The sequence below is a fragment of the Homo sapiens genome, chromosome 2 (genome assembly GCF_000001405.40).
Source record: "Homo sapiens chromosome 2, GRCh38.p14 Primary Assembly".
Lineage (NCBI taxonomy): Eukaryota > Metazoa > Chordata > Mammalia > Primates > Hominidae > Homo > Homo sapiens.
The window spans coordinates 36599503-36625193 of NC_000002.12; the positions used below are offsets into that span (position 1 = coordinate 36599503).

General features: G+C 41.6%; 2 annotated features.

Annotated features, from left to right (window-relative positions):
• Nucleotides 589–1514: an enhancer, noted in NCBI's record as "H3K27ac hESC enhancer chr2:36827234-36828159 (GRCh37/hg19 assembly coordinates)". NCBI's record gives its function as "activates a minimal SCP1, AML or CMV promoter by ChIP-STARR-seq in naive H9 embryonic stem cells {active_cell/tissue: H9 hESC(naive)}" and the evidence as "EXISTENCE:reporter gene assay evidence [ECO:0000049][PMID:30033119]".
• Nucleotides 18945–18994: an enhancer, noted in NCBI's record as "active region_15575". NCBI's record gives its function as "activates an Ori minimal core promoter by ATAC-STARR-seq in GM12878 lymphoblastoid cells {active_cell/tissue: GM12878}" and the evidence as "EXISTENCE:reporter gene assay evidence [ECO:0000049][PMID:35858748]".

A 25691-nucleotide genomic window follows, 5' to 3' on the forward strand; every position in this document is an offset into this window, starting at 1 on the left:
TCTCTTCACACGGACGCACATGAAATTTGGTGCCGTGACTCGGATCGGGGGACCTCCCTTGGGAGATCAATCCCCCTGTCCTCCTGCTCTTTGCTCCATGAGAAAGATCCACCTACGACCTCAGGTCCTCAGACCGACCAGCCCAAAAAACATCTCACCAATTTCAAATCCAGTAAGCGGCCTCTTTTTACTGTCTTCTCCAGCTTCCCTCACTATCCCTCAACCTCTTTCTCCTTTCAATCTTGGCGCCGCACTTCAATCTCTCCCTTCTCTTAATTTCAGTTCCTTTCATTTTCTGGTAGAGACAAGGGAGACACGTTTTATCCGTGGACCCAAAACTCCGGCGCCGGTCACGGGCTGGGAAGGCAGCCTTCCCTTGGTGTTTAATCATTGCAGGGACGCCTCTGATTATTCACCCACGTTTCAAAGGTGTCAGACCACGCAGGGACGCCTGCCTTGGTCCTTCACCCTTAGCGGCAAGTCCCGCTTTTCTGAGGAAGGGGCGAGTACCCCAACCCCTTCTCTCCTTGTCTCTACCCCTTCTGTGATTTTTCTGGGGCAGGGGCAAGAACCCCTCAACCCCTTCTCCTTCACCCTTAGCGGCAAGTCCCGCTTTTCTAGGTGGCAAGAACCCCCAATCCCTTATTTCCACACCCCAATCTCTTATCTCTGTGCCCCAATCCCTTATTTCCGTGCCCCAACCCCCCTTCCCGCTTTTCTGGAGGGTAACAACCCCGAACCCCTTCCCTCCATGTCTCTACGCTCTCTTTTCTCTGGGTTTACCTCCTTCACTATGGGCAACCTTCCATCCTCCATTCCTCCTCCTTCTCGCTTAGCCTGTCCTCAAGAACTTAAAACCTCTTCAACTCACACCTGACCTAAAACCTAAATGCATTATTTTCTTCTGCAACACCACTTGGCCCCAATACAAACTTGACAATGGCTCTAAATGGCCAGAAAAGGGCACTTTCGATTTCTCCATCCTACAAGACCTAAATAATTTTTGTAGAAAAATGGGCAAATGGTCTGAGGTGCCTTACGTCCAGGCATTTTTCACACTTCACTCCCTCCCTAGCCTCTGTTCCCAATGCGATTCCTCCCAGATCCTCCTTTCCCTCCTGCCTATCCCCTCAGTCCCAACCCCAAGCGTCGCTGAGTTTTTCCAGTCTTCCTTTTCTACAGACCCATCTGACCTTTCCCCTCCTCCCCAGGCTGCTCGTCGCCAGGCCGAGCTAAGTCCCAATTCTTCCTCAGCCCCAACTCCTCCACCCTATAATCCTTCTATCACCTCCCCTCCTCACACCTGGTCTGGCTTACAGTTTAGTTCCGCGACTAGCTCTTCCCCACCTGCCCAGCAATTTACTCTTAAAAAGATGGCTAGAGCTAAAGGCATAGTCAAGGTTAATGCTCCTTTTTCTTTATCCCAAATCAGATAGCATTTAGGCTCTTTTTCATCAAATATAAAAATCCAGCCCAGTTCATGGCTCGTTTGGCAGCAACTCTGAGACGCTTTACAGCCCTAGACCCTAAAAGGTCAAAAGGCCGTCTTATTCTCAATATACATTTTATTACCCAATCTGCTCCCAACATTAAATAAAACTCCAAAAATTAGAATCTGGCACTCAAACCCCACAACAGGACTTAATTAACCTCACCTTCAAGGTGTACGATAATAGAATAAAGTTGCAATTCCTTGCCTCCACTGTGAGACAAACCCCAGCCACATCTCCAGCACACAAGAACTTCCAAACGCCCGAACCGCAGCGGCCAGGGGTTCCTCCAGAACCTCCTCCCCCAGGAGCTTACTACAAGTGCCAGAAATCTGGCCACCAGGCCAAGGAATGCCCACAGCCCAGGATTCCTCCTAAGCCGTGTCCCATCTGTGCGGGACCCCACTGAAAAATCGGACTGTTCAACTCACCTGGTAGCCACTTCCAGAGCCCCTGGAACTCTGGCCCAAGGCTCTCTGACTCCTTCCCAGATCTTCTCAGCTTAGCGGCTGAAGACTGACACTGCCCAATCGCCTCGGAAGCCCCCTAGACCATCACGGATGCCAAGCTTCGGGTAACTCTCACAGTGGAGGTTAAGTCCGTCCCTTCTTAATCAATACGGAGGCTACCTGCTCCACATTACCTTCTTTTCAAGGGCCTGTTTCCCTTGCTTCCATAACTGTTGTGGGTATTGACGGCCAGGCTTCTAAACCTCTTAAAACTCCCCAACTCTCGTGCCAACTTGGACAACACTCTTTTATGCACTCTTTGTTAGTTATCCCCACCTGCCCAGTTCCCTTATTAGGCCGAGATATTTTAACCAAATTATCTGCTTCCCTGACTATTCCTGGACTACAGCCACATCTCATTGCCGCCCTTCTCCCCAACCCAAAGCCTCCTTCGTGTCTTCCTCTCATATCCCCCCACCTTAACCCACAAGTATGGGACATCTCTACTCCTTCCCTGGCAACCGATCTCATGCCCATTACCATCCCATTAAAATCTAATCACCTTTACCCCACTCAACGCCAATATCCCATCCCACAGCATGCTTTAAAAGGATTAAAGCCTGTTACCACTCGCCTGCTACAGCATGGGCTTCTAAAACCTATAAACTCTCCTTACCATTCCCCCATTTTACCTCTCCTAAAACGAGACAAGGCTTACAGGTTAGTTCAGAATCTGCACCTTATCAACCAAATTGTTTTGCCTATCCACCCCGTGGTGCCAAACCCATATACTCTCCTATCCTCAATACCTCCCTCTACTACCCATTATTCTGTTCTGGATCTCAAACATGCTTTCTTTACTATTCCTTTGCACGCTTCATCCCAGCCTCTCTTTGCCTTCACTTAGACTGACCCTGACACCCATTAGGCTCAGCAAATTGACTGGGCTGTACTGCCGCAAGGCTTCACAGACAGCCCCCATTACTTCAGTCAAGCCCAAATTTCATCCTCATCTGTTACCTATCTCGGCATAATTCTCGTAAAAACACACGTGCTCTCCCTGCTGATCGTGTCCGATTAATCTCCCAAACCTCAATCCCTTACTAAAGAACAACTCCTTTCCTTCCTAGGCATGGTTAGTGCGGTCAGAATTCTTACACAAGAGCCAGGACCACACCGGGTAGCCTTTCTGTCCAAACAACTTGACCTTACTGTTTTAGCCTAGCCCTCATGTCTGCATGCAGTGGCTGCCGCTGCTTTAATACTGTTAGAGGCCCTAAAAATCACAAACTATGCTCAACTCATTCTCTACATTTCTCATAACTTCCAAAATCTATTTTCTTCTCACACCTGACGCATATACTTTCTGCTCCCCGGCTCCTTCAGCTGTACTCACTCTTTGTTAAGTCCCACAATTACCATTGTTCCTGGCCCGGACTTCAATCCGGCCTCCCACATTATTCCTGATACCACACCTGACCCCCATGACTGTATCTCTCTGATCCACCTGATATTCACCCCATTTCCCCGTATTTCCTTCTTTCCTGTTCCTCACCCCGATCACACTTGATTTATTGATGGCAGTTCCACCAGGCCTAATCGCCACACACCAGCAAAGGCAGGCTATGCTATAGTACAAACCACTACCCCGCCTCTCAGAACCTCTCATTTCCTTTCCATCATGGAAATCTATCCTCAAGGAAATAACTTCTCAGTGTTCCATCTGCTATTCTACTACTCCTCAGGGATTATTCAGGCCCCCTCTCTTCCCTACACATCAAGCTCGAGGATTTGCCCCGACCCAGGACTGGCAAATTAGCTTTACTCAACATGTCCCGAGTCAGGAAACTAAAATACCTCTTAGTCTAAATAGACACTTTCACTGAATAAGTAGAGGCCTTTCCTACAGGGTCTGAGAAGGACACCACAGTCATTTCTTCCCTTCTGTCAGACATAATTCCTCAGTTTAGCCTTCCCACCTCTATACAGTCTGATAACAGACTAGCCTTTATTAGTCAAATTAGCCAAGCAGTTTTTCAGGCTCTTAGTATTCAGTGAAATCTTTATATCCCTTATGGTCCTCTGTCTTCAAGAAAATTAGAATGGACAAAAGGTCTTTTAAAAACACACCTCACCAAGCTCAGCCACCAACTTAAAAAGGACTGGACAATACTTTTACCACTTTCGCTTCTCAGAAGTCAGACCTGTCCTCAAAATGCTACAGGGCACAGCCCATTTAAGCTCCTGTATAGACACTCCTTTTTATTAGGCCCCAGTCTCATTCGACACCAGACCAACTTAGACTGTGCCCCAAAAAAACTTGTCATCCGTACTATCTTTTGTCTAGTCATACTCCTATTCACCGTTCTCAACTACTCATACATGCCCTGCTCTTGTTTACACTGCCGGTTTACGCTGTTTCTCCAAGCCATCACAGCTGATATCTCCTGGTGCTATCCCCAAACTGCCACTCTAAACTCTTGAAGTAAATAAATAATCTTTGCTGGCAGGACTATGCTGAATCTCCTTAGGCACTCTCTAATCAGATGTCCTAGGCCCTCCCAATTCTTAGACCTTTTATACCTGTTTTTCTCCTTCTCTTATTCCATTTAGTTTCTCAATTCATACAAAACCGTATCCAGCCCATCACCAATCATTCTATATGACAAATGTTTCTTCTTACATCCCCACAATACCACCCCTTACCACAAGACCTCCCTTCAGCTTAATCTCTCCCACTCTAGGTTCCCACGCCACCCCTAATCCCACTTGAAGCAGCCCTGAGAAACATCGCCCATTCTCTCTCCATACCACCCCCCCAAAATTTTCGCTGCCCCAACACTTCAACACTATTTTGTTTTATTTTTCTTATTAATATAAGAAGGCAGGAATGTCAGGCCTCTGAGCCCAAGCCAAGCCATCGCATCCCCTGTGACTTGCACGTATACACCCAGATGGCCCGAAGTAACTGAAGATCCACAAAAGAAGTAAAAATAGCCTTAACTGATGACATTCCGCCATTGTGATTTGTTCCTGCCCCACCCTAACTGATCAATGTACTTTGTAATCTCCCCCACCCTTAAGAAGGTTCTTTGTAATTCTCCCCACCCTTGAGAATGTACTTTGTGAGATCCACCCCTGCCCGCAAAACATTGCTCTTAACTTCACCGCCTGACCCAAAACCTATAAGAACTAATGATAATCCATCTCCCTTTGCTGACTCTCTTTTCGGACTCAGCCCACCTGCATCCAGGTGAAATAAACAGCCGTGTTGCTCACACAAAGCCTGTTTGGTGGTCTCTTCACACGGACGCGCATGAAACTAGCCAAACATGATGGCACACGCCTATAATCTCAGCCTCCCAAGTAGCTGAGACTACAGGCGCCCGCCACCACGCCCGGCTAATTTCTTGTATTTTTACTGGAGACGGGGTTTCACCGCGTTAGCCAGGATGGTCTCGATCTCCTGACCTCGTGATCCGCCTGCCTCAGCCTCCCAAAGTGCTGGGATTACAGGCGTAAGCCACCGTACCTGGCCAAAAAAATATTTTTTTAAAGGGAGGAAAAAGTAAATATTATCATAAGGAAATACGAATGTGTAGAGGCAACGAATGCTCAGGAGTTGAGAAGAGTGACATCTCTGGACTGGCATGATCAAATACTTCACTTAGAAGGTGGAGCTGGTTAGGTGATGAAAGATGAGCTCATAGTTTGAAAAATAAATCTGAAGTTAGTAATAGAGAATAAATTTTTCCCAATATGCTTTGTCCATCTCTTGGCAGCATGGAAACACATTTTCATGAATACATGTTAATACCAACATTTTCTTGTTTACTAGTCCAATAAATGTTGTGTTTTACTTTAGTGATTTGTCCCATATCAAATGAAATAGTTCTGTGATTAACCCTAAGATACTGTTTAATTAAAAGAAATGTTGTTCCCTATTTCCTTTGAAACCATAAAGGGAGTGGATGTTGATCCCCAGTTAGCCAAGAGCTAGAACTAATTAGTCAACAGTGAACAATAGCTTTTGGATTGATGAGAAAACATTCTGACTCAGCTATCTGAACATTACTCAAAAGTGATGCTCCAAAGTATCAAAGAGCTATTTTTCTCCAGGTGTTTGACTACAGACACAAAGTTATGAGGAAACTATCTAGTTGATGCAGACTCTCTAAATTATGTACATGGCTAAGATAAAATTCATTTATTTTTCTTGACTCATATTTCCATTTACCTGTTATAATGTGTCCACATATGAGTGAAAATGATTGCTCTTAGAACCCAAATGTAGCACTGTCAAAATTTCCAGATGTTCTTAAATAAATTGCCACTGGTTTAGCTCCAATGGTATTACAATTTTATTTTAGTCAAATTTCTTACACAGGATGCTTTTTACTTTTAATTAAATATAAATTACTTGATATTACCCTATGCATTTTGAATATCCCTTTGGGAAAACAAGATGAAAATCACTTTTCTTGGTCAACTTATGTTTGCACACTCATGGTAACCTTGGCACTCAACGCTATCCATAAGAATGCTCCAAATAGATATGTCTGTGAGAAAACACTATATTTCTCTATAGTTTTGCCACTTCATAGGGACAGAGCAATTAGATTAGAAAGAAACTGTAGAGTGGAATAAATTGTTAATTGGTGCTTTGGTAGATTTTAAATAGTTAACTGTAAACATAAACACGTAACAGCAGAAAACTGTTTAAATACTTGTAAATTTAAACCGTTTAAATGTTTGTAACCAGATAAAATTATAAAGTAGCAATGTTTCTCTGCAGTGCCTACCACACATCTCTCCTTCCCATGTTTATCTGGGGACTTCAGGTTGCTCCACAGCCTTCCAGATCATCCTACAGGAGGAGAGACCATGTTCCACTCAGGTCGTGGCCCCATTCCCTTATCCCCGCCTTTTCCTTTAGTTCCTTTGGTACTGGGCCCAGACTTCTTTAAGAGAATCCGGCTCCAAGTTACTGTTTTGTAAACCCCTTCTCTTAATAATTCCTGACAGCAAGCTTAGCTCATTTCCCAGCAACTCTCATACCCATCAGCCAAATTCTAGCTTCCTACACTGCCACAAATCTAGAAAAACCACAGGCTTCTTGCCAGCCTCACCTGTTTTGATCAGTCCATCAATACCCAAAAGCTTCCAATTAAGAAGAGGTTCTTTCACTTTGTTATATCTCACATAACCTACTTCTACTAATTTGTCCGCGAAAATCTATTTATTTTGGACCTTTTATTTCCTACCAACTCCTGAAGGCCATAAGAAAATGAACATGTGTAAACATGCTTGCTCACTTGATATATTAAGAAAAGCTAGCCTATTGAATTAATTTTCAGCCCTTGATTCAAAATTAGAAAGAGAATATAGAAGAACTTTTAAAGAGAGCTTCATAGCACTTGAGCATTATATGCATATTAATCATTTAAGGTTTAAAAGGTTACTTTTCTGGTTTGACAATGTACATAAATTTTGCGCATATATATCAGAGTGGAAGTTTATATGACAAAAAATTTAAAAATAAGTTATTCAACATATAGGTCACCTGTCTTGGCCCATTTTGTGTTGCTATAACAGAATACCACAGACTGAGTAATTTATAAAGAAATTGATTTCTCACAGTTCTGGAGGTGAGGAAGTCCAAGATTATGGTGCTGACATCCGGTGAGAGCTTTCATGTTGTGTCATCTCAAGGCAGAAGGTGGAAGGGCAAGAGAGTGTGAGAGAGCAGGGAGAGAAGGAAAGTCAGACTGATCCATTTATCAGAAATCTGCTTCTGCCATAACTAACCCACTTCTGGGATAATGCTATTAATTCATTGATGAGGGCATTGTCCCCGTGATCCAAACACCTCTCAAAGGTCCCATCTCTCAAAACTGTTGCATTGGGGATGAAGTTTCCAACACATAAACTTTAGGGGACACGTTCAAACCATAGCACTACCTAAAAGTATAATCAGTCAGAAAATATAAGAACTGCAAAAGACACTGTTGAATAGAAAACCAAAAAATATCTGGTTGTTAAAGTATCATATTTAGCAAAGGCCAGAGGCATTATAAAGCAACAGTAAAATAATGAGAATGTATGTAAATGAAAGTTTATTGAGAAGATCTAAGGTAATTGCTGATATCATTTATAACTAGAAGAAAAAAAACAGCTGATGACACAAAAGTAAAAATAATTTAAAAATCTATATGGTGACCCAATAATTTAAGGAAAGGTTGCTTGCTTGCCAAAAAGGAAAGAGCAGCTTCTCTTCACTTTTTCTCCAGTAAGAAAAAAAAATCAAATTAACCAGACACAGTGGCATGTGCCTGTAGTCCAAATTACTTGGGAGGCTGAGGCAGGAGGATCACTTGAGCCCAGGAGTTCATTACAATGAGCTATGATGGCACCACTACACTTCAGCCTGGGTGACAAAGCAAGACCCTGTCTCTTAAAACACAAAAATCAAGAAACTGTTGAGGAGACAAAGACCACAATCTAGAATTTATTAATGAATATTTCATTCCAGTTCATTCAAGTTCGATAGAGATAAATCTTCAGTGAACAGCCATACCTTCCATTTTAATGATTAAGCCAGCGTCCTGATCAGGCAAAACCACCTTGAGAAGAAGCAGTAGTAGGCTCCAAGAGAAGGAACCAAGGTGACTGGCCACGGCTGCACCCTTACAAGGCACCTCAATAGCTGGGTAGGGAAAACTGCCAAGTGCATGCCTGCTTGTGTTCTGAGTAATCAAATGCTGGTGTCTTAAAAATAAATGGAAACAACCATTGGCAGTAGTTGTTTATCTGACATTATAATTTGTTTACCATCCCTCCTATTTTGCCTCTTGATGAAATCTGTATTTTATACTACAGTTATATAAATTAACTTCACTGGAAAGTAATACAAAATTAATAAAATAGACTATTGTCATTGGTGGACTTGAGTTTTCAGGGAGGCATTTGAGGCACTAATTTGAGAAGAAGAAAAAAATCAGTGGAAATGGGAAATCTTTCTCTGGCCCGTACAGGAAAGAAAAAAAAAAAAGATGAAGAAAAGAGAAAAAGCTGTGAACCTTCAAGAAAACAGGAATAAGTCCACTTCCCACTGAATTGGGGGAAAACCAGTGAGAAAAAAAGCAGAAAAAAGTTACAATGAGCACAGTGACTGTCAGTAGGTGACACCGTAATAGAGTAACAGGGCACATCTGGAGACTAGGTGGCATCAAAAGAGGCACCAACAGGTTTATAGAGAGAAATTGACATAGACAATTCAGAGGCATTTGCAGCTGAAAAGAAACAAGGAGACTTGAATTATATTTGGGTAGCGTTATGTTTTATTTTCTGGCATACTTATTAATATAAATTTCTTATAAGAGTACTTGTCCCAAATTTTCCTTAGTTTCAAGTGTTGGGGCAAGGGAACCATACTATCCAGCAATATTCCACAAAATCAGCCAGATGAGTCTGCCAAAATTTGCACTAAGGGTAGTATAAGAATGAGCATTAGGCCAGGCGCAGTAGCTCATGCCGGTAATCCAGCACTTTGGGAGACCGAGGCAGGCGGATTACTTGAGGCCTGGAGCTCGAGACCAGCCTGGTCAATCATGGCAAAACCGCATCTCTACTAAAAATACAAAAATTAGCGGGGCATAATGGCTCATGCTTGTAGTCCCAGCTACTCAGGAGGCTGAGGCACAAGAATCATTTGAACCCGGGAGGCAGAGGTTGCAGTGAGCAGAGATCACACCACTGCACTCCAGTCTGGGCAACAGCGAGACTGACCTCAAAAAAAAAAAAAAAAAAAAAAAAAAAAAAGGATGACTGTTAAACTGTCCTATTCCTTTGGAATTTTATTTTCTTAGGTCTTTGTTTTTCATTTGTATTCTTTCCTCTAAGTTTTTATATTCAAACATATTAAAATTTCCTGTCTTTAAAAAAGGAAAACTTCATTGTAAACAAGGTAGGGATGAAGTGGGACTAAAGGTGAGGATGTCTATTTTACATTAAACATTTTAATTTTTTTAAGCTGTAAGTTTAGTAGGATTTTTTCTTCTCTTTTTAAGTGTGATCAAAATGTCTTGACAGCAAAAGAGCTGCACCAATATTGCTCATCAAAATAGCTTAATCAAAATGTTATGTAGCTAAATAAAAATCCCACTTAAGTCAGATGGGTGTTGGTCTACAGAAACAAAACAAAGTAGCCTATTAAGATAATTGTTTACATAATTTAAGCAAACAGACATGTAATTGCTCAATTTTCTGCCTGATTTGACTAGGGCAGACATAAAAGTAAGCTAGTTGTTTCTAATCTGGTATTAAAGGGTTTAGCATAGGAGATTTGTTAATTCCTTGTTCTTATTGTTTAAAGAAAGAAATGTTAGTTTCATTCCATGTTGCAAAGACAGAGACAGTAACTTTGTAACTCCGGAGGATTGATTTGCTCTTTGGAAAACTGGATTAGTGCATACCCCGGATGTCTGTGAGTCTCACCAAACTGGGATTTGTGATGAACTGAATTACCACCAGTGCCTGAATTTCAGTATCTCATTCACCCCCAGCCATGGAAATGCAAGACTCCTGGTACCCCAAGTGCCTACATTGTGCTGTTGATGTACGCAGGTCTGTGGGTAAGTGAGCACGGGAGACAGCAAGCGCTCTCCAGACTGCATCTACCCAGATGGGCCAGCTAAACTCAGCCTCAGCCTTCTCCTTTTGTTATGAGCTAAACTGTGTCCCCTCAAAATCCATAGTTGAAGCTGTAAGCCCCAGCACCTCAGAGTATGACTGTATTTAGAGATAAAGTCTTCATAGATGTAATTGAGTTAAAATGAAGAATTTTTGGCTAGACACAGTGGCTCACACCTATAATCCCTATAATCCCTGCACTTTGGGAGGCCGAGGCGGGCGGATCACTCACTTGAGGTCAGGAGTTTGAGACCAGCCTGGCCAACATGATGAAATGCTGTCTCTACTAAAAATATTATATGTATATGTATATATATTAGCTGGGCATGGTGGCTTGAGCCTGTAATCCCAGCTACTCGCGAGGCTGAGGCAGGAGAATCACTTGAACCCAGGAGGTGGAAGTTGCAGTGAGCCAAGATCACACCATTGCCCTCCGGCATGGGCGACAGAGTGAGACTGTCTCAAATTAAAAATAAAAAGAAAAAAGAGAGAAAAGAAAATTTGTTAAGGGTGTGCCCTAATCCAGTCTGACTGGTATCTAGAGGAAATTTGGACACATAAGAAAACAGCATGGATGCACTCACACAGAGGAGAGACCACGCGAGGACACAGTGAGATGACGACCATGTGCGGGCCGAGGAGAGACGCCTCAGCAGAAACCAACCCAGCTGACACCTTCGTCTTAGACTTCTAGCCTCCGGAACTGTGAGGACATGAATTTATTTTGCTTCAGCTGTCCAGTCTGTGATATTTTGTGATGGGAGCTCTCACAGACTGATACACCATCCATAGTCATCCCAGTGGTTCCTGGGAGTCTCCACAGAGATGGGACAGATATGATTCTGTTCTTCCTTCTGGCTTCTTTGTCGTCTTGAATATTGCTCTCTCCTAGAAATAACAGCAACTGGCCGTTAACTGGGTGACTTACTAGTGAGAGCAGAACCAGAGCTTTCTGCCTACCCTATGACCCACCTACAGGTGAGAAAACTAGAAATTCTAAAGAAGAATTCGAGTCGTTGAGATGCAGAACTGTCAGCCAGATTAGGAGGGAGGGCCTGGGGTGCTTCCTACTCAAGCCAATTGTGAGGGCTTCCTGAGGAGCAGAGTGTGGGCCAATCTCGCAAGAAGGATCAATAAACAGTGTCTTTCTCCCCAGCTGGTTGGATACTTAGATGAAGGACCTGGACACTGCTGCCCCTGTGAGCCCAGAGTGGGACACCATGAGCGAGTTCCTGGGAGATCCTGATTGAAGTCCCCTGGAGTTTGGAGACACATGGGAAGTTAAAAACTGAGGCAAACTCTTGCCTAAAGAACTCTGAAGGCATGAGGCTGGGGAGCTTCCCATGATGACAGTGCTGAGAAAGAGGTCTACAGAGTGAGCAGCCCATGCTTACACCATCTGTTGGGCAAGGATACATGGTTTTCCCTGGGGCCAAGTGGAAAGACAGCCCTGAGGAGAGCTAGACTTGAGTCACCTTGAAAAGGTCCCACGAAAAGGGTTAGCAGGGTTGAGGAGGCCCCACCAGGAGACCACCCCAACGTAACAGGAAGAGAGGATGCAGAGTGGGGGAGGATGTGATGGAGAAAAGTGAAAGCACAAACCAGTTCCCAGGTCAGGTCTGAGCAGGCCGGGAGGCTAACACAAATATAAGATAGAGGTTGTGATTTACATTGAATCAGACTTCTTCATACCTAATAGTAAGACTGTTCTTATATGTGAAAGTCACTGAAAAGCCATGGACTCCAGCCAAAGACGACAGCCAGGAGTGTGGAAGGGAAATGGGACAGTTCATGTTTGAAGATGAGGATGGGAGGAGAAAGGGAGCTTTAGCCTTAGTGTACTGTAGCAAATTCAACCCTTTCAAATTTTAGCTCTAACCACCTTGGACAGACACCATTGCAGCCCTCAATTTTCATCTCTCCGAGATGGTTCCCACCCCCTGCCTCACCATGCACAGAGCCCTTTCATTTTCTTTCAAAAACGATAGCAGTGTCCTGATAAATATCAGTTCATGAGAATATAAATGCTTAAGACGTTTGCTATTCCAATACAATGAGACTCAACTTTGAGATCACCTGGCACCACCATAGCAGTAATTAATCTACATTTAAACCACCAATCAAGATCAATGCCAAGTAGAAATAGTTACTAGAGAATGGAAGTACAGATGAGAACTATCTCAATGAAAATGTCTCCAAAATTCCAGGCTGTGATCTGGATGCAATGCAATTGCTTACATAGGTCAGAAATCAAGGGAAAAAATTTACCAGCTCTCTGGTCCCATCATGAAAGGGTGATGGATTGAGGGTATTAACTACTGGAAATCGCAGGGGACCAAAGACACCAGTTTTGTGGAATAAAGTAAGTTTGAGATAAAGCGCAGTACAGACGGTCAAGGTAATGCTGCCTTTTGCTTCACCTTCAGAAGCTGAGGGTAACAAGGTTATCTTTTGCTATGAGATGCTTTGATTTGAGTCAGCCAAGTGTAGGGCTTTGGTATTTGACAAATAAGGACTCTTTCTCCTTTGCTGAACACCTGGTTTAATGGTAATATATCATCATTTTTATTTGTCAAAACAATTTTTAAATTATTCATTTCCTTTTCAAGTTTGCTTTGCCACAAACCTCAACTTCCCAGCCCTCTAAATAGGGATACCTGTGTTATGCATTTGTTGATAGGAAAAAAAAATAGGTCCTTTAGCCTCTCATTCCTGATAAGATTTTACTCCTTAGTTCAATAATCTTCCATGAATGGGGTAAAAACAACCAAAATTTTGGAAGCACTAGAGAGCATTTCCTTTGTCATTAACACCCAAGAAATAGTACAGAGAACTGAAGATACCTCTCCAATTCTCCCAGTAAAATGCATAGAGAAACAACAGCATATGGATAGACTCTTGCATTTAAACAAAGGAGAGACCTCTGTAAGCTTCTATTATTATGGGTGGTATCCTACCTATGAATGATTTATAAAGTGGAATTTGTTTGTTTCTCTGAATTGTTTTGAGGATCGATTTGCTTCTAAGTTTGTTCTGTATCTAAAAGTGATATTAAAATAGTCTCCCATAGGCAAAGGGTGACATTAGCAAAAGACTGTGCTTTTAATACTCCATGAAACAGGCATTGATTTCTATATCTGTTTAATAATAAATGTTAAATGACCCTGGAAGCAGAGACACATCTCCAGTGTCTAATAAAATAAACAATGTTTACTTCTTTGAAATTAAATTCTTTAATCAAAGATCACTGTAGGGAAATACAGCATTGACGTCTTCCAAAAATGTCAGAAGAGTGAAGAAAGACTACAAAATTAATAACTTATACATACTGTATTTTGCAAATGATAGTGGTTATACATGTGCCAAATTATTTTTGAAAAATCAAATTTACTTGTAATTGGTTTCATAGAATAATAGTATTTTCCCTATACCCTTGGAATTTGTAATTAGCCTCTGTAGTTCTCTAAGTCACAGAAATTTCTTTTTTATGCTTGGCAACTGAATTATCATATTGATTGTTTTGACAATTTGAAAATAGCTACCTTAAATGATGGGCAAGACACACCACTAGATGTTGTTGTACAATTTTTAAATCCATGTATTCACTCATTTGGCCCAGTTGTAGTCTTCAAATATTATTCCTTACGCAAACCTCCTACATACGTCCCTTATTTTATCAACTTTCCTTTAAATTTATCTATACAATTTCTCTTTCCTTATCTATAAGTATTTTAATTATTTTCTACTTTCTCATCTAGTTCTTCATTCTTTTATTTTCTTCATTTGCTCCCAAATGACTTTCTCTACTTTGGAGAATGTCATGAGAGTTGGACTCGAGCCATTTATGTGTTTAGAACAGCATTTTCCCAATTCCTCCAATATTTTCATTGCTATTTAGAAAGGCATTTGAAACTCTCCCATCCAAGTAGTCTTTTCTGGCTAACTCAAGCTGAATCCTAAAAGATGAATAAGTCACCTATTATTCTCCTAAGGAAACTCCTGCCTTCCTCTTACAGTTATACCTAGTGATGAGGCTGGATAGGACCTCACCAACCATCTCTAGCAGGGTGGGCACACTGGGGGAGTAGAGGACTTGCAATCAGACCTGTCATTAGAATTCCATCAGCCTGGAGGGTTGCGTGGAGGTGCTCTGCTACAGGTACTGAAGTTATATCCAAGTCATTAGCAGAACAAAATATTCAGAAAAGAGTGTAGGACTCCGTAGCTCCCTATAGCAGGCTCACTGGGCTCTCTAGCCTCACAGTGGAGCAAAGCACAGTGACAAGAGATTCAGAAGCAGGCAAAGCCCAGAGACTCAGCAGGCAGGAAAAGGGCTGAATTTAGGTGGTCTTCTAACAAATAGCCAGGCCTCTCCAGGTCATTGGCTGGTCTTAGAAAATGGGGAAAGGTTGAGCCTCCATGTAGGATCTGGTGCAGAGGTAGATTTCCCATGAAACTAAGGAAAAAAGCTTAAGGGACCCTTACTTGCACAAGGCACTTACAAAACCCCAGGAGAGGCAATGCAATGCATATTAAAAAGTGCTGTCAGTTCAGAGAATATTAAAGACTAATTGCTGCACAAAACATTTGCATTGCCCTGAAATCTTAGTGCTCATATAAGAAACCTGACAGCAGTTTTAACAAATTTGACGATAATCTTGCACATTTACCTGACAATATGGCTTACAACTTTGTAAAAGTAAACCCTTAGACACATTAAATGTAACAAAGCTTAAATGAACAAAGAATGATTTGCAAATCCGGCAGCCCCCAGACCAGAATAGGTTCAGGGAGGCTCCAGCACTACGGCCCAGTCAAAAAAGGTTTGTGGATCAAAAAAAGAAAAGGGACACACAGAAAACAGAAGTACAGAAACAGCCAGATTGGTTACAGCTCAGTGTTTGCCTTATTTGAACATACTTTGAACAGTGCCCACCTTTGGCTGAAACTCAGTGATAGGCACAAGAGTAGGTTACAGCCTGTTCACACATCCAGTTAGGCTACAGTTCACTAGGTACAGGGAAACCTTTAAAATATATAAAAAGGCAGCTTTAGACTAAACTTTTTTTTAACAAAGTCGTAATGTAAGCAGACAGAGGAGCCCCAGGGACTATGGGAATTTAATCAAATTGAGCAATCAGCCTGTTTTACAGCCTCCTGCCTTGCAGCCTGTTTTTCCCCAAACCCAGTGTGGAATTTGGTCAGCTGGAACCAGCCACTGACAGATCCTGGCAACATATAGATGAACCCAAGTGAACTTTCCCCATTACCATGCTAAAATCTCCACCCCAGCAGGGGCTATAGCGTCATTACCATAACATGTGACATATGTGCCAGCATCATGACTCATGCATCTGCGCCACTCGGACCCCGCCCCTACATGCGATGATGCACTCTCTCCCCTCTCCATCGCCCCATAAAACTCTCCTGTCACTTTCCCCTTTGGGGACACTGCTTTGGAGAATCCCCCCAGGGTTCTCCTTACTTGAGACAAATAATAAAACTCCTATAGCTCAAAACCTGTGTTCTCTGGCAGAGTCATTTTTTACTCACCAGGCAAATGAGCCCTGGTTTTTTTCAGGTAACAATAAACCTGAAACTTTTCTAATCTATCAGTAACAAAGAAAAATATTTTGAAAAACTAGGTTAGAGGAAAGACTGAGTTTTCTATTGTCTATGGAAAACAATGTTGTAAAATTGCAGTCCTGTGAAGAGCCAATTCAAGAGTAAAAGCCAGGATCACTTGAGTCCAGGAGATGGAGGTTGCAGTGTGAGCCAAGATCGCACCACTGTACTCCAGCCTGGGTGACAGAGTAAGACCCTGTCTCAAGAAAAAAAAAAAAAGAAATAAAGAAAGAAAAAAAAAGAGTAAAAGCCAAATTGTAAGGGGAAAGTGTCAATGAACAAAGTCAAACTCTATAAAGTATTTGAAGAGATTTATTCTGAGCCACATATGAGTGACCAGTGATTAATGACACAGCCCTCAGGAGACCCTGAGAACATGTGCCCATGGTGATCAGGCTACAGTTTGGTTTTATACATTTTAGGGAGACATAGACATCAATCAATACATGTAAGAGCTACATTGGTTCAGTCTGGAAAGGCACAACTCAAAGCCTGGGAGGCTTCCAGGTCATAGGTAGATTTAAAGATTTGCTGATTGGCAATAGGTTGAAAGAGTTAAGTTATTGTCTAAATACTTAGAATCAATAGAAGGGAATGTCTGGGTTAAGATAAGGGGTCAGCCGGGAGCAGTGGCTCATGCCTGTAATCCTAGCACTTTGGGAGGTTGAGGCGGATGGATCACCTGAGGTCAGGAGTTCAAGACCAGCCAGCCTGGCCAACATGGTGAAACCCCGTCTCTACTAAAATATAAAAATTAGCCAGGTATGATGGCAGGTGCCTGTAATCCCAGCTACTTGGGTGACTGAGACGGGAGAATCGCTTGAACCCGGGAGATGGTGGTTGCAGTGAGCCGAGATCACGCCATTGCACTCCGGCCTGGGTAGATGAGCAAGACTCTGTCTCAAAAAAAAAAAAAAAAAAGGTAAGGGGTTGTGGAGACCAGGGTTCCTATTATGCAGATAGAATCAGTAGAAGGGAATGTCTGCGTTAGGATAAGGGGTTGTAGAGACCAAGATTCCCATTATGCACAGGAAGCCTTCAGGTAGCAGGCTTCAGAGAGAATAGGTTGTAATATTTCTTATCAGAGTTGATTCTCTCCTGGATCAGGAAAAAGGTCTAGAAAAGGAAGGGGTTTCTCTTCAGAATGTAGATTTTCCCCACAAGAGACAGCATTGCAGGACTATTTTAAGAGATGGTAAAGAAACATAATTTGGGGTAAAATACATTAATTTCTTTCAGGGCCTGCCATCTGTCATGTGATGCTATACTAGAGTCAGGCTGGAATTTGTTATCTTATTGCTACATGGAGTCTCCTTTGTTAGTCTTAAGATCTGTTTTAATGTTAATGCAGGTCAGCTGGGCCTGAATTTCAACAGGGAGGAGGAAATAATGAGGAATGTCTGTCTCTTGATTCCCATCATAGCCTAAACTGGTTTTTCAGGTTAACTTTAGATTGCCCTTGGCCAAGAGGAGGGGGTCCATTCAGATGGTTGGGGGGGCTTAGAATTTTATTTTTGGTTTACAAAAGTATTGCAGAGATGTGTTAGAAAAGTAACAATTTAAAAATATTATGTTGTATTTCTAGATTGTATACTGTTTGTGATACTTGTTACCTTTTAAGATATATCATGTTATTTTTTCTCATTCTAAATATTTACTTTAATAGCTAATTTTGTATTGTTTTTCTTAAGCAGATTCCACCAAATTACATAAGCTTCAGCCTCCACAAACTCTGAATCTGACCCTCATCAAGTGGGCTGTGCTAAGAAGCTGGGTGGAATGAGCTTGGCCTGGCCTGCCACCTATCATTATTTCCAAGTATGTAATTGTTGACCTAAAAGGAAGATGCTGAGGCAAAATTAACAAAAGCAGAGAGTTTACTTGGGCCAAGTTTGAGGACTGCAACCCAGGAGCATAGATTCAAGGTGCCATGAATATACACTCTGATTAGCAGCAGTTACAAGTACATTTTTTTTTTTTTTTTTTTTGAGATGGAGTTTCACTCTTGTTGCCCAGGCTGGAGTGCAATGACACGATCTCAGCTCACCACAACCTCCACCTCCTGGGTTCAAGCAATTCTCCTGCCTTATCCTTCCGAGTAGCTGGGATTACAGGCATGTGCCACCACGCCTGGCTACGTTTGTATTTTTAGTAGAGACAGGGTTTCTCCATGTTGGTCAGGCTTCTCCATGTTGGTCAGGCTGATCTTGAACTCCCGACCTCAGGTGATCCGACCACCTCAGCCTCCCAAAGTGCTGGGATTATAGGCGTGAGCCACCGCCACCCAGCCACAAGTAAATTTTTAAAGGAAACATTTAAAAATTTTGTTTATCAAAAATTTACATTAAAATAACATATTATTGATTGGCTATATACTGTTCTTTGTATCACAAATTCCAGGAACATGAAGATAATGGGTGAGGCAACTAGTTAGGAACCAAACAACTTTAAACAATTCCCCGTAGGCATGGGTGTGTGTGTGGTGGAGTTTGACAGAAGCCCTATACTCGAGTCTTTTGGGGCCTGATAAATTTTATGCACCTCACATAGCTCAGGATGCTCTGAGCAATTTTTCTTCTCTCATAATCCATGAAGATACAATGTTTAAGGCTTTAGTTAAAACTACACAAGACTGACTTATACTTCAGTGTTTTGTGGGGAGATGTTATTAAAGCCAAACAAGGATACTTGTGTGAGAAGCTAGCCCACCTCTCAACCAGTCTTCTTCTGGGCCACACAGCTGGACTACATTTCCCAGGCACCCTTGCAGCTCCATGTGGTCACGTGAATGAGTTCTAGCCAATGGAATGCAGATGATGGAAGCAATGTACAGCCCTTCCAGACTTAAGCCATGAAAACCTCCCACAATTGCTCACCTATTTCTTCCCTTTTCACTGGCTTAATGCACATGAGCACAGTGACCTTACAAGCCACTGTCAAACATGGCAGAGCCACACAATGAAAGGAAGTTAGGTCTCTGATCCACTGCTTGGAAGAAAACTAAATTTGAACTCTTATTCTTCCAGTTAGCAAGAAATAAACTTTTTATTCTTAAAACACTGGGATTCAGAGGTTTATCTGTTACAACAGCTAATAATATCTCAGTGAATACTGCTTCTGTTAGTGGACAAATAGCACTCCTCTTAAATTATGTTATAAGATCCTACTTGCTTGTGTATAAACATACGTATATTAACGTATATGTTTTGTGCAGATAAACATATGAAAATAAATATGTCTGAAGTCACATTTTCTCTCTTGTAGGTCCCATTTTACATTACTAGTTAATTATAGGCTACAGCAGGGGTCCCCAACCCCCAGACCACGGACTGGGGCTGCACAGCAGGAGGTGAGCGGCAGGTGAGTGAACATTACCGCATTACTGTCTGAGCTCCTCCTCCTGTCAGATCAGCTATAGCATTAGAGTCTCATAGGAGTGTGAACCCTATTGTGAACTGTGCATGTGAGAGATCTAGGTTGCCTATTCCTTACGGTAATCTAACTAATGCCTGATGATTTGAGGTGGAACAGTTTCATCCCCAACTATCCCCTCCTCTTCCCCTGCCATCCACGGAAAAATTGTCTTCCATGAAACCAGCCCCTGCTGCCAAAAATATTGGGGACTGCTGGGCTACAGTATGTGATTAGCATTTCTGATATTTGGGTATTTGAGCAGGTACTAAAATTTCTGAAGAAATAGACCTATCCCAATCAGTGTAATAGACCTTTAAAGATTGTGACTTTCTCTTTATTAGCATATTTAGGCTCAGATCTTCCAAAGATTCTAGAGAAAGAATTCCTGCATTGGGATGGAGGTTGGCATAGACAACATCTATGCTCTTTGTCAACCCTGATTATTTCTAGGTTTCACATCCTAAGTACAAAGCATGGTTTCACAGGACTCCCTGGATCAAATTACATTAATGATAAAAATTCATGTTTTAATGCACTTGCCCTAACTGACTGCTATGGTTTGAATGAATCCTCAATGTGGGATTATTCAGAGGTGGGGACTTTAAAAGTGATTGGATCCTGAGGGTTCTGACCTTATGAATTGATTAATCCACTCATGGATTCATGGATTAAAAAATTAGTGGGTTATCTGCTGGGCACGGTGGCTCATGCCTGTAATCCCAGCACTTTGGGAGGCTGAGGCTGGTGGGTCACCTGAGCTCAGGAGTTCGAGACCAGCCTGACCAAGACGGTGAAACCCCCGTCTCTACTAAAAATAGAAAAATTAGCCGGACATAGTGGCAGGTGCCTGTAATCCCAGCTACTCGGGAGGCTGAGGCAGGAGAATTGCTTGAACCTGGGAGGCAGAGGTTGTAGTGAGCCAAGATCGCATCACTGCACTCCAGCTTGGGCAACAGAGTGAGACTCCATCTCAAAAAATAAAAAAAATAAAAAAAATTAGTGGGTTATCATGGGAGTGGGACTGATGGCTTTATAAGTAGAGGAAAAGAGACTTGAACTAGTATATTGACATGCTAAGTCCCCTCGCCAAGTGATACCTTGTGCCACCTTGGTGTTCTGCAAAGAGTCCCTACCAGCAAGAAGTCTCTCAACAGATGTGCCCCCTCCACCTTGTACTTCCCAGCCTCCATAACTATAGGAGTAAATTCCTTTCCTTCATAAATTACCCAGTTTCAGGTATTCCATTGTAAACAACAGAAAACAGACTAAGACAGTGGCTCATGCAGGCTGTAAGCTCATACTACGTCTGGCCTTACCGTCACCCAGGGAGATACCTCACATCTGCTTAGAATTAAGTCCTTTCAGCTTCTCCTTCTTCTGGCTACTAGGGTTCCTTCCAAGGACTCAGCTTCTGCTAGCCACCAGTGGCACATCTGCAGGACACAAATGCTGGGTCCCAGGATAGAAGTACCAGAAGAGAGGCTGAACACTGCACATGCTTCCAGGCCCCCACAGGTGCTTCCCCTACAACCCCATCATATCTAGTGTGTGCCACTGTAGCAGCTCTGGGCTATTGCTCGTTCTGATGAGCACCATGGCCTCTGCCAATTCCCTGTTACTCCCATTGAGAACAATGACCTGTTACTCAGCACAGCTCTAAAAGGACAAAAAGATCTGTGGGGAGGTGGCAGGAAATACCCCTTTCAGCCTTTTCTTATTCTCATCTATGGCACCCCCTTGCCTTAGAAAATTGTAAGTCTTTGAGTTTTTTACACCTTTTATACTTTTAAGTTTTTATACTTTTTATATCTTAATAGTTTCCAGTCCCTACAGCCAGATATGAATCTATGTGATTGGGTTAGAAATACTTTGAATTATAGATATTTCTTTTTACTCAGAGACATGCCTTCCCTATCACTTAAGAGTCCTGGCTCTGTCTACCCTCAGGATGAGTTTTCTTCCAGGAGATACCTCAGAATATCGTGCAGATACCCTCTAGGTGAGCTCAATTGGCTAGACCTGCTGGAATCCCAGCTCAGGCTTGGGTGTAGTGACCCTGAACCAGGTGTCCAGTTAATAAACATGCTCTGTACACACCTAATTCTCCAAGAGAATAGACCCTTCAGTATTTCTGATGTTTCTCTGAACTTTCTCGATGACAAGTCTAGGCAAATGAAAGACCCTAACATAGTGGACATAAGCAAGATTTCAAAGCATGAAGCTAGAATGGGATTCCTAGTGTCAGTCTAGTACCTTTTAATATCAATTCTCTGAAATGAGAATAAAGTTAATATTTATTTTATTCTATTACTACTGTGAGCCATTAAAATTGGATTTTTGGAAAGCAAAAGGAAAGGAGGAAGGGAGGGAAGGAAGGAATAGAAGGTGTGTAGAGGCTATTCACTAATTTGCTCTCTGAAACACTTAGGGGAAGAAAGAACTTTAAAAGGATCATGGAGATCAGATTTTTAAAAAATTTACCTTCTTAATCTTATATTTTCTAGCATTTTCTCAAACCTATTTGACCCACTCCTCACCTCCAAACATTATTGAGCAGCCATTATGATCCATAAATAAGAGATTAAAAGATTTAAGTGTAATTAATGTGACATTGATTTTGAATCTAATTCTTACACTATAAAATGATTTTTTTTAAAAAACAACAACTTGGCATGCTTAGGTAATATGTATGCCCCTTCCCAACTAGGTGTATATTAAAAAGGTTAAGAGTGACAATAATCTAAATTATGAAAGAATCCAGGCATTCTTATAATGTGCTTTGACCTATGGATACAAAAGGTCAAATGAAGCAGCAGCAGTGTACTGTATTTCTTTTCTGAAAAATGAAATGGGAATTATACAGTACTAATGTACAGCACTTAAAAAAGGGAATGGAACTAGCTATCACAGTATGTTAGGAAATGACTGGTGCTTTTCCAAAAAACATCAGGAGAACAGACTTATTTCTGAGGTATTTGAAATCTGACAACCTCAATCTGTGATAATGAACATTCTGTCTGTGGGCTGAAGCAATCAATGGCTTCCCAGGCGAGGCCTTTGACCTACTTCATGACTGCTCTCCAGTTCACCTCTCAGACAAAATGGCACTGCAGTTACCACCACCACAGAAACGACCCACAGACTTGAATGACGGTGACCTGACTTAATAAGGAAGAGAAAAAAGGTGTAGATGACACCAATCACAGCTGCCTCACCTAACAGCAATAACTAATATCCAAACTAAATAAACTGGTGAGGTTCAAACTGGTTGGCATGCCTTTCTTACACAAAAGTAAGTCACAAAAATTGAAGGGTTTACAAACCATGCTTGCCAGTTACCCTCTCCTGCAGCACTGAGACTAGAGCAGGATCTACAGCTTTTATGGGTTTTGTAAATAAAGATGTATTGGAACATGCTCATTAGTTTACACCATGCCTTGACTACTGTCCATGACAACAGCAGATGTCAGTAGCTGAGACAGAGACTGTACTCCCCACAAATTCTAAAAGATTTATTATCTGGTCTTTTACAGGAAAAAAAATTGCCAGTCCCTGGACTGGAGGGACAGAGCTGAGGAAGTGGTGGTATTTGCCACTGGAAAGTGTAAAACCATGGACACCCTCTCCAGCATCTTCTTTTATTCCTGAGCGCATAAAATAGTCTCTGGGAGGGAAATGAAGTGGAACAGACTATAGAAAAATTATGCTTCTCATAATGAAAGAAGAAAAGCCTGCAGGAAAGGAACAAGAGGCAAATATGCTATTTATGGTACACCATTCTGCTGTTTGCTCCAAGATTTTTCTTCAGCCCAACTACTGTTCCCCACTCAGAGTGAAAGCTTCTATATACAAACTAACAGAAAAGATGGATCAATGATCTTCTGTTTTGGAGATGAAAATGTAATTTCTTAAATAAAATAATAAATAAGAAATTAATACGAATAAAAATAAAGCAAAGAAAAGCAACACAACAGAAAAAATGGCTCATCCTCCAGTGATATGTATCTAGAATGTATAAAATTTTATAAATTTATAACATTTAAAATTTTATACATGCTAGATATATATTCATTCAACACATAATTTCGTCTCCTTAAACCACCTAAAAAAAAGGCAGAAAAGGGCATTAGCTAAAAATGTCAAGCATAACTTGAAATGTGAGGTAGTGCCCGGAGAAGCATCTGTATACTAATCAAAAACCAATTTTTGAGACAGCAGGTCTAGAACATAGAGATAAGGGAGGTGGCTACACTGACAAAGAAGGAAGGCAAGACTGCTGCTAGTGGAGGTCTGAGCTTCTAGTCGTTACTTCTCATGGCACAACTACACCCACGGCAGAGCAGCTTCAGGGACCTCTTTTCACTGGAATTGTGTGCAGGGCTCATTGGCCAGGAGAGCCGCCCTGATTCCATGGGGAGCATCTTACTTCACTAAAGTGAGGTAATTCTGTACCATCCTCTTTGCCCCTTGGACAGCCCTTTGTTACCAGATAAGAAAAGATATAAATAGAAGAAATAATAAAAACATTTTAAGAAGCCATGTATCTCTAATTTCATTATCTGTTAAACCCTACATAGCTCTAGGTTAAAACAATATTTTATGGAGGAAAATTTTAAACCTTAATTAGGTCTTTAGAATAAAATCTCAAAACAGAAATTATATACTAAATGATTAGTAGAACTGATTTATGTAGTAAATGATTAGTAGAACTGATTTAGTATTAAAAAATGTTCATGGAAGGAGGCAGAGGATCAGTAAAAAATCAGGTACTTTGCTTATTACCTAGATGATGAAATAATCTGTACAGCAAATCCCCGTGACACACAGTTTACCTACCTAACAAACCTGCACATGTACCCCTGAACATAAAAGTTAAAAAAAGTTTAAAAATGTAATAACACACTGGGATTATATTTGAAACATAAATAAGAGACAAAAGATGAAAATCCCTAATGTATAAAGATATTTTATAAATCAGTGAAAAATAGAGATAGCTGTAAAATAAGTGAGGATCATGAATAATCAATTTATGAAAGAACAAATGGCTAATAAACATTTTAAAAGTTCAGTCTAAATAGTAAACAAAGGGCAAGATATGGTGGCTCATGCCTATAATCCCAGCATTTTAGGAAGCTGAGATGGGAGAATCACTTTAGCCCAGGAGTTTGAGACCAGCCTGGGCAACAAAGCGAGACCCTGTCTCTACAAAAGTTTTTTAAAAAAACTAATAAGGCATTGTGGCATGCACCTGTAGTCCCAGCTACTTGGAAGGCTGAGGTGGGAGGAGCACTTGAGCCCAGGAATTCAAGGCTTCAGTGAGCTACGATTTCACCAGTCCACTCCAATCTGGGTGACAGAGTGAGACTATATCTAATAAAAAAAAATAGTAAACACAGAAATACAAATAAAAGAGATCATGGAAATATTATCTACTAAAAGCTTAACAGTTTTTCTATTATTAGTAGTGATCTGCTATCTATCTGCAATGGATTTTTATGTATGGTATGAGATAGGCTCAAATTTCTTTCTTTTTTTTCCCACATGGAGTCAGTTATCTCAGCACAGTCAATAAGGCTGTTCATTCTCCGCCTTTTTGTGATGTCTTATTCTCATGAATTATATGACCTTACATATAGGTTGTGCTTCTGGACTCTATTCTGTTCCATCTATTTGTCCAGCCCTGTATAAATGTCACACTATATTAATTACTATAGTTTTTAAATAAATCTTGATGTATGCTAAAGCAAAAAGCCTTGAAACAATGAGCTATACAGTACCTATCAAGTTGGAAGGTATTTTTTTTTTTTTTGAGACAGAGTCTCACTCTGTCACCTATGCTGAAGTGCAGTGGCGTGATCCCAGCTCACTGCAACCTCTACCTCCCGGGTTCAATTGATTCTTCTGCCTCAGCCTCCCAAGTAGCTGGGATTGCAGGCGCACGCCACCATGCCCAGCTAATTTTGTATTTTTAGTAGAGACAAGGTTTCACCATATTGGCCAGGCTGGTCTCGAACTCCTGACC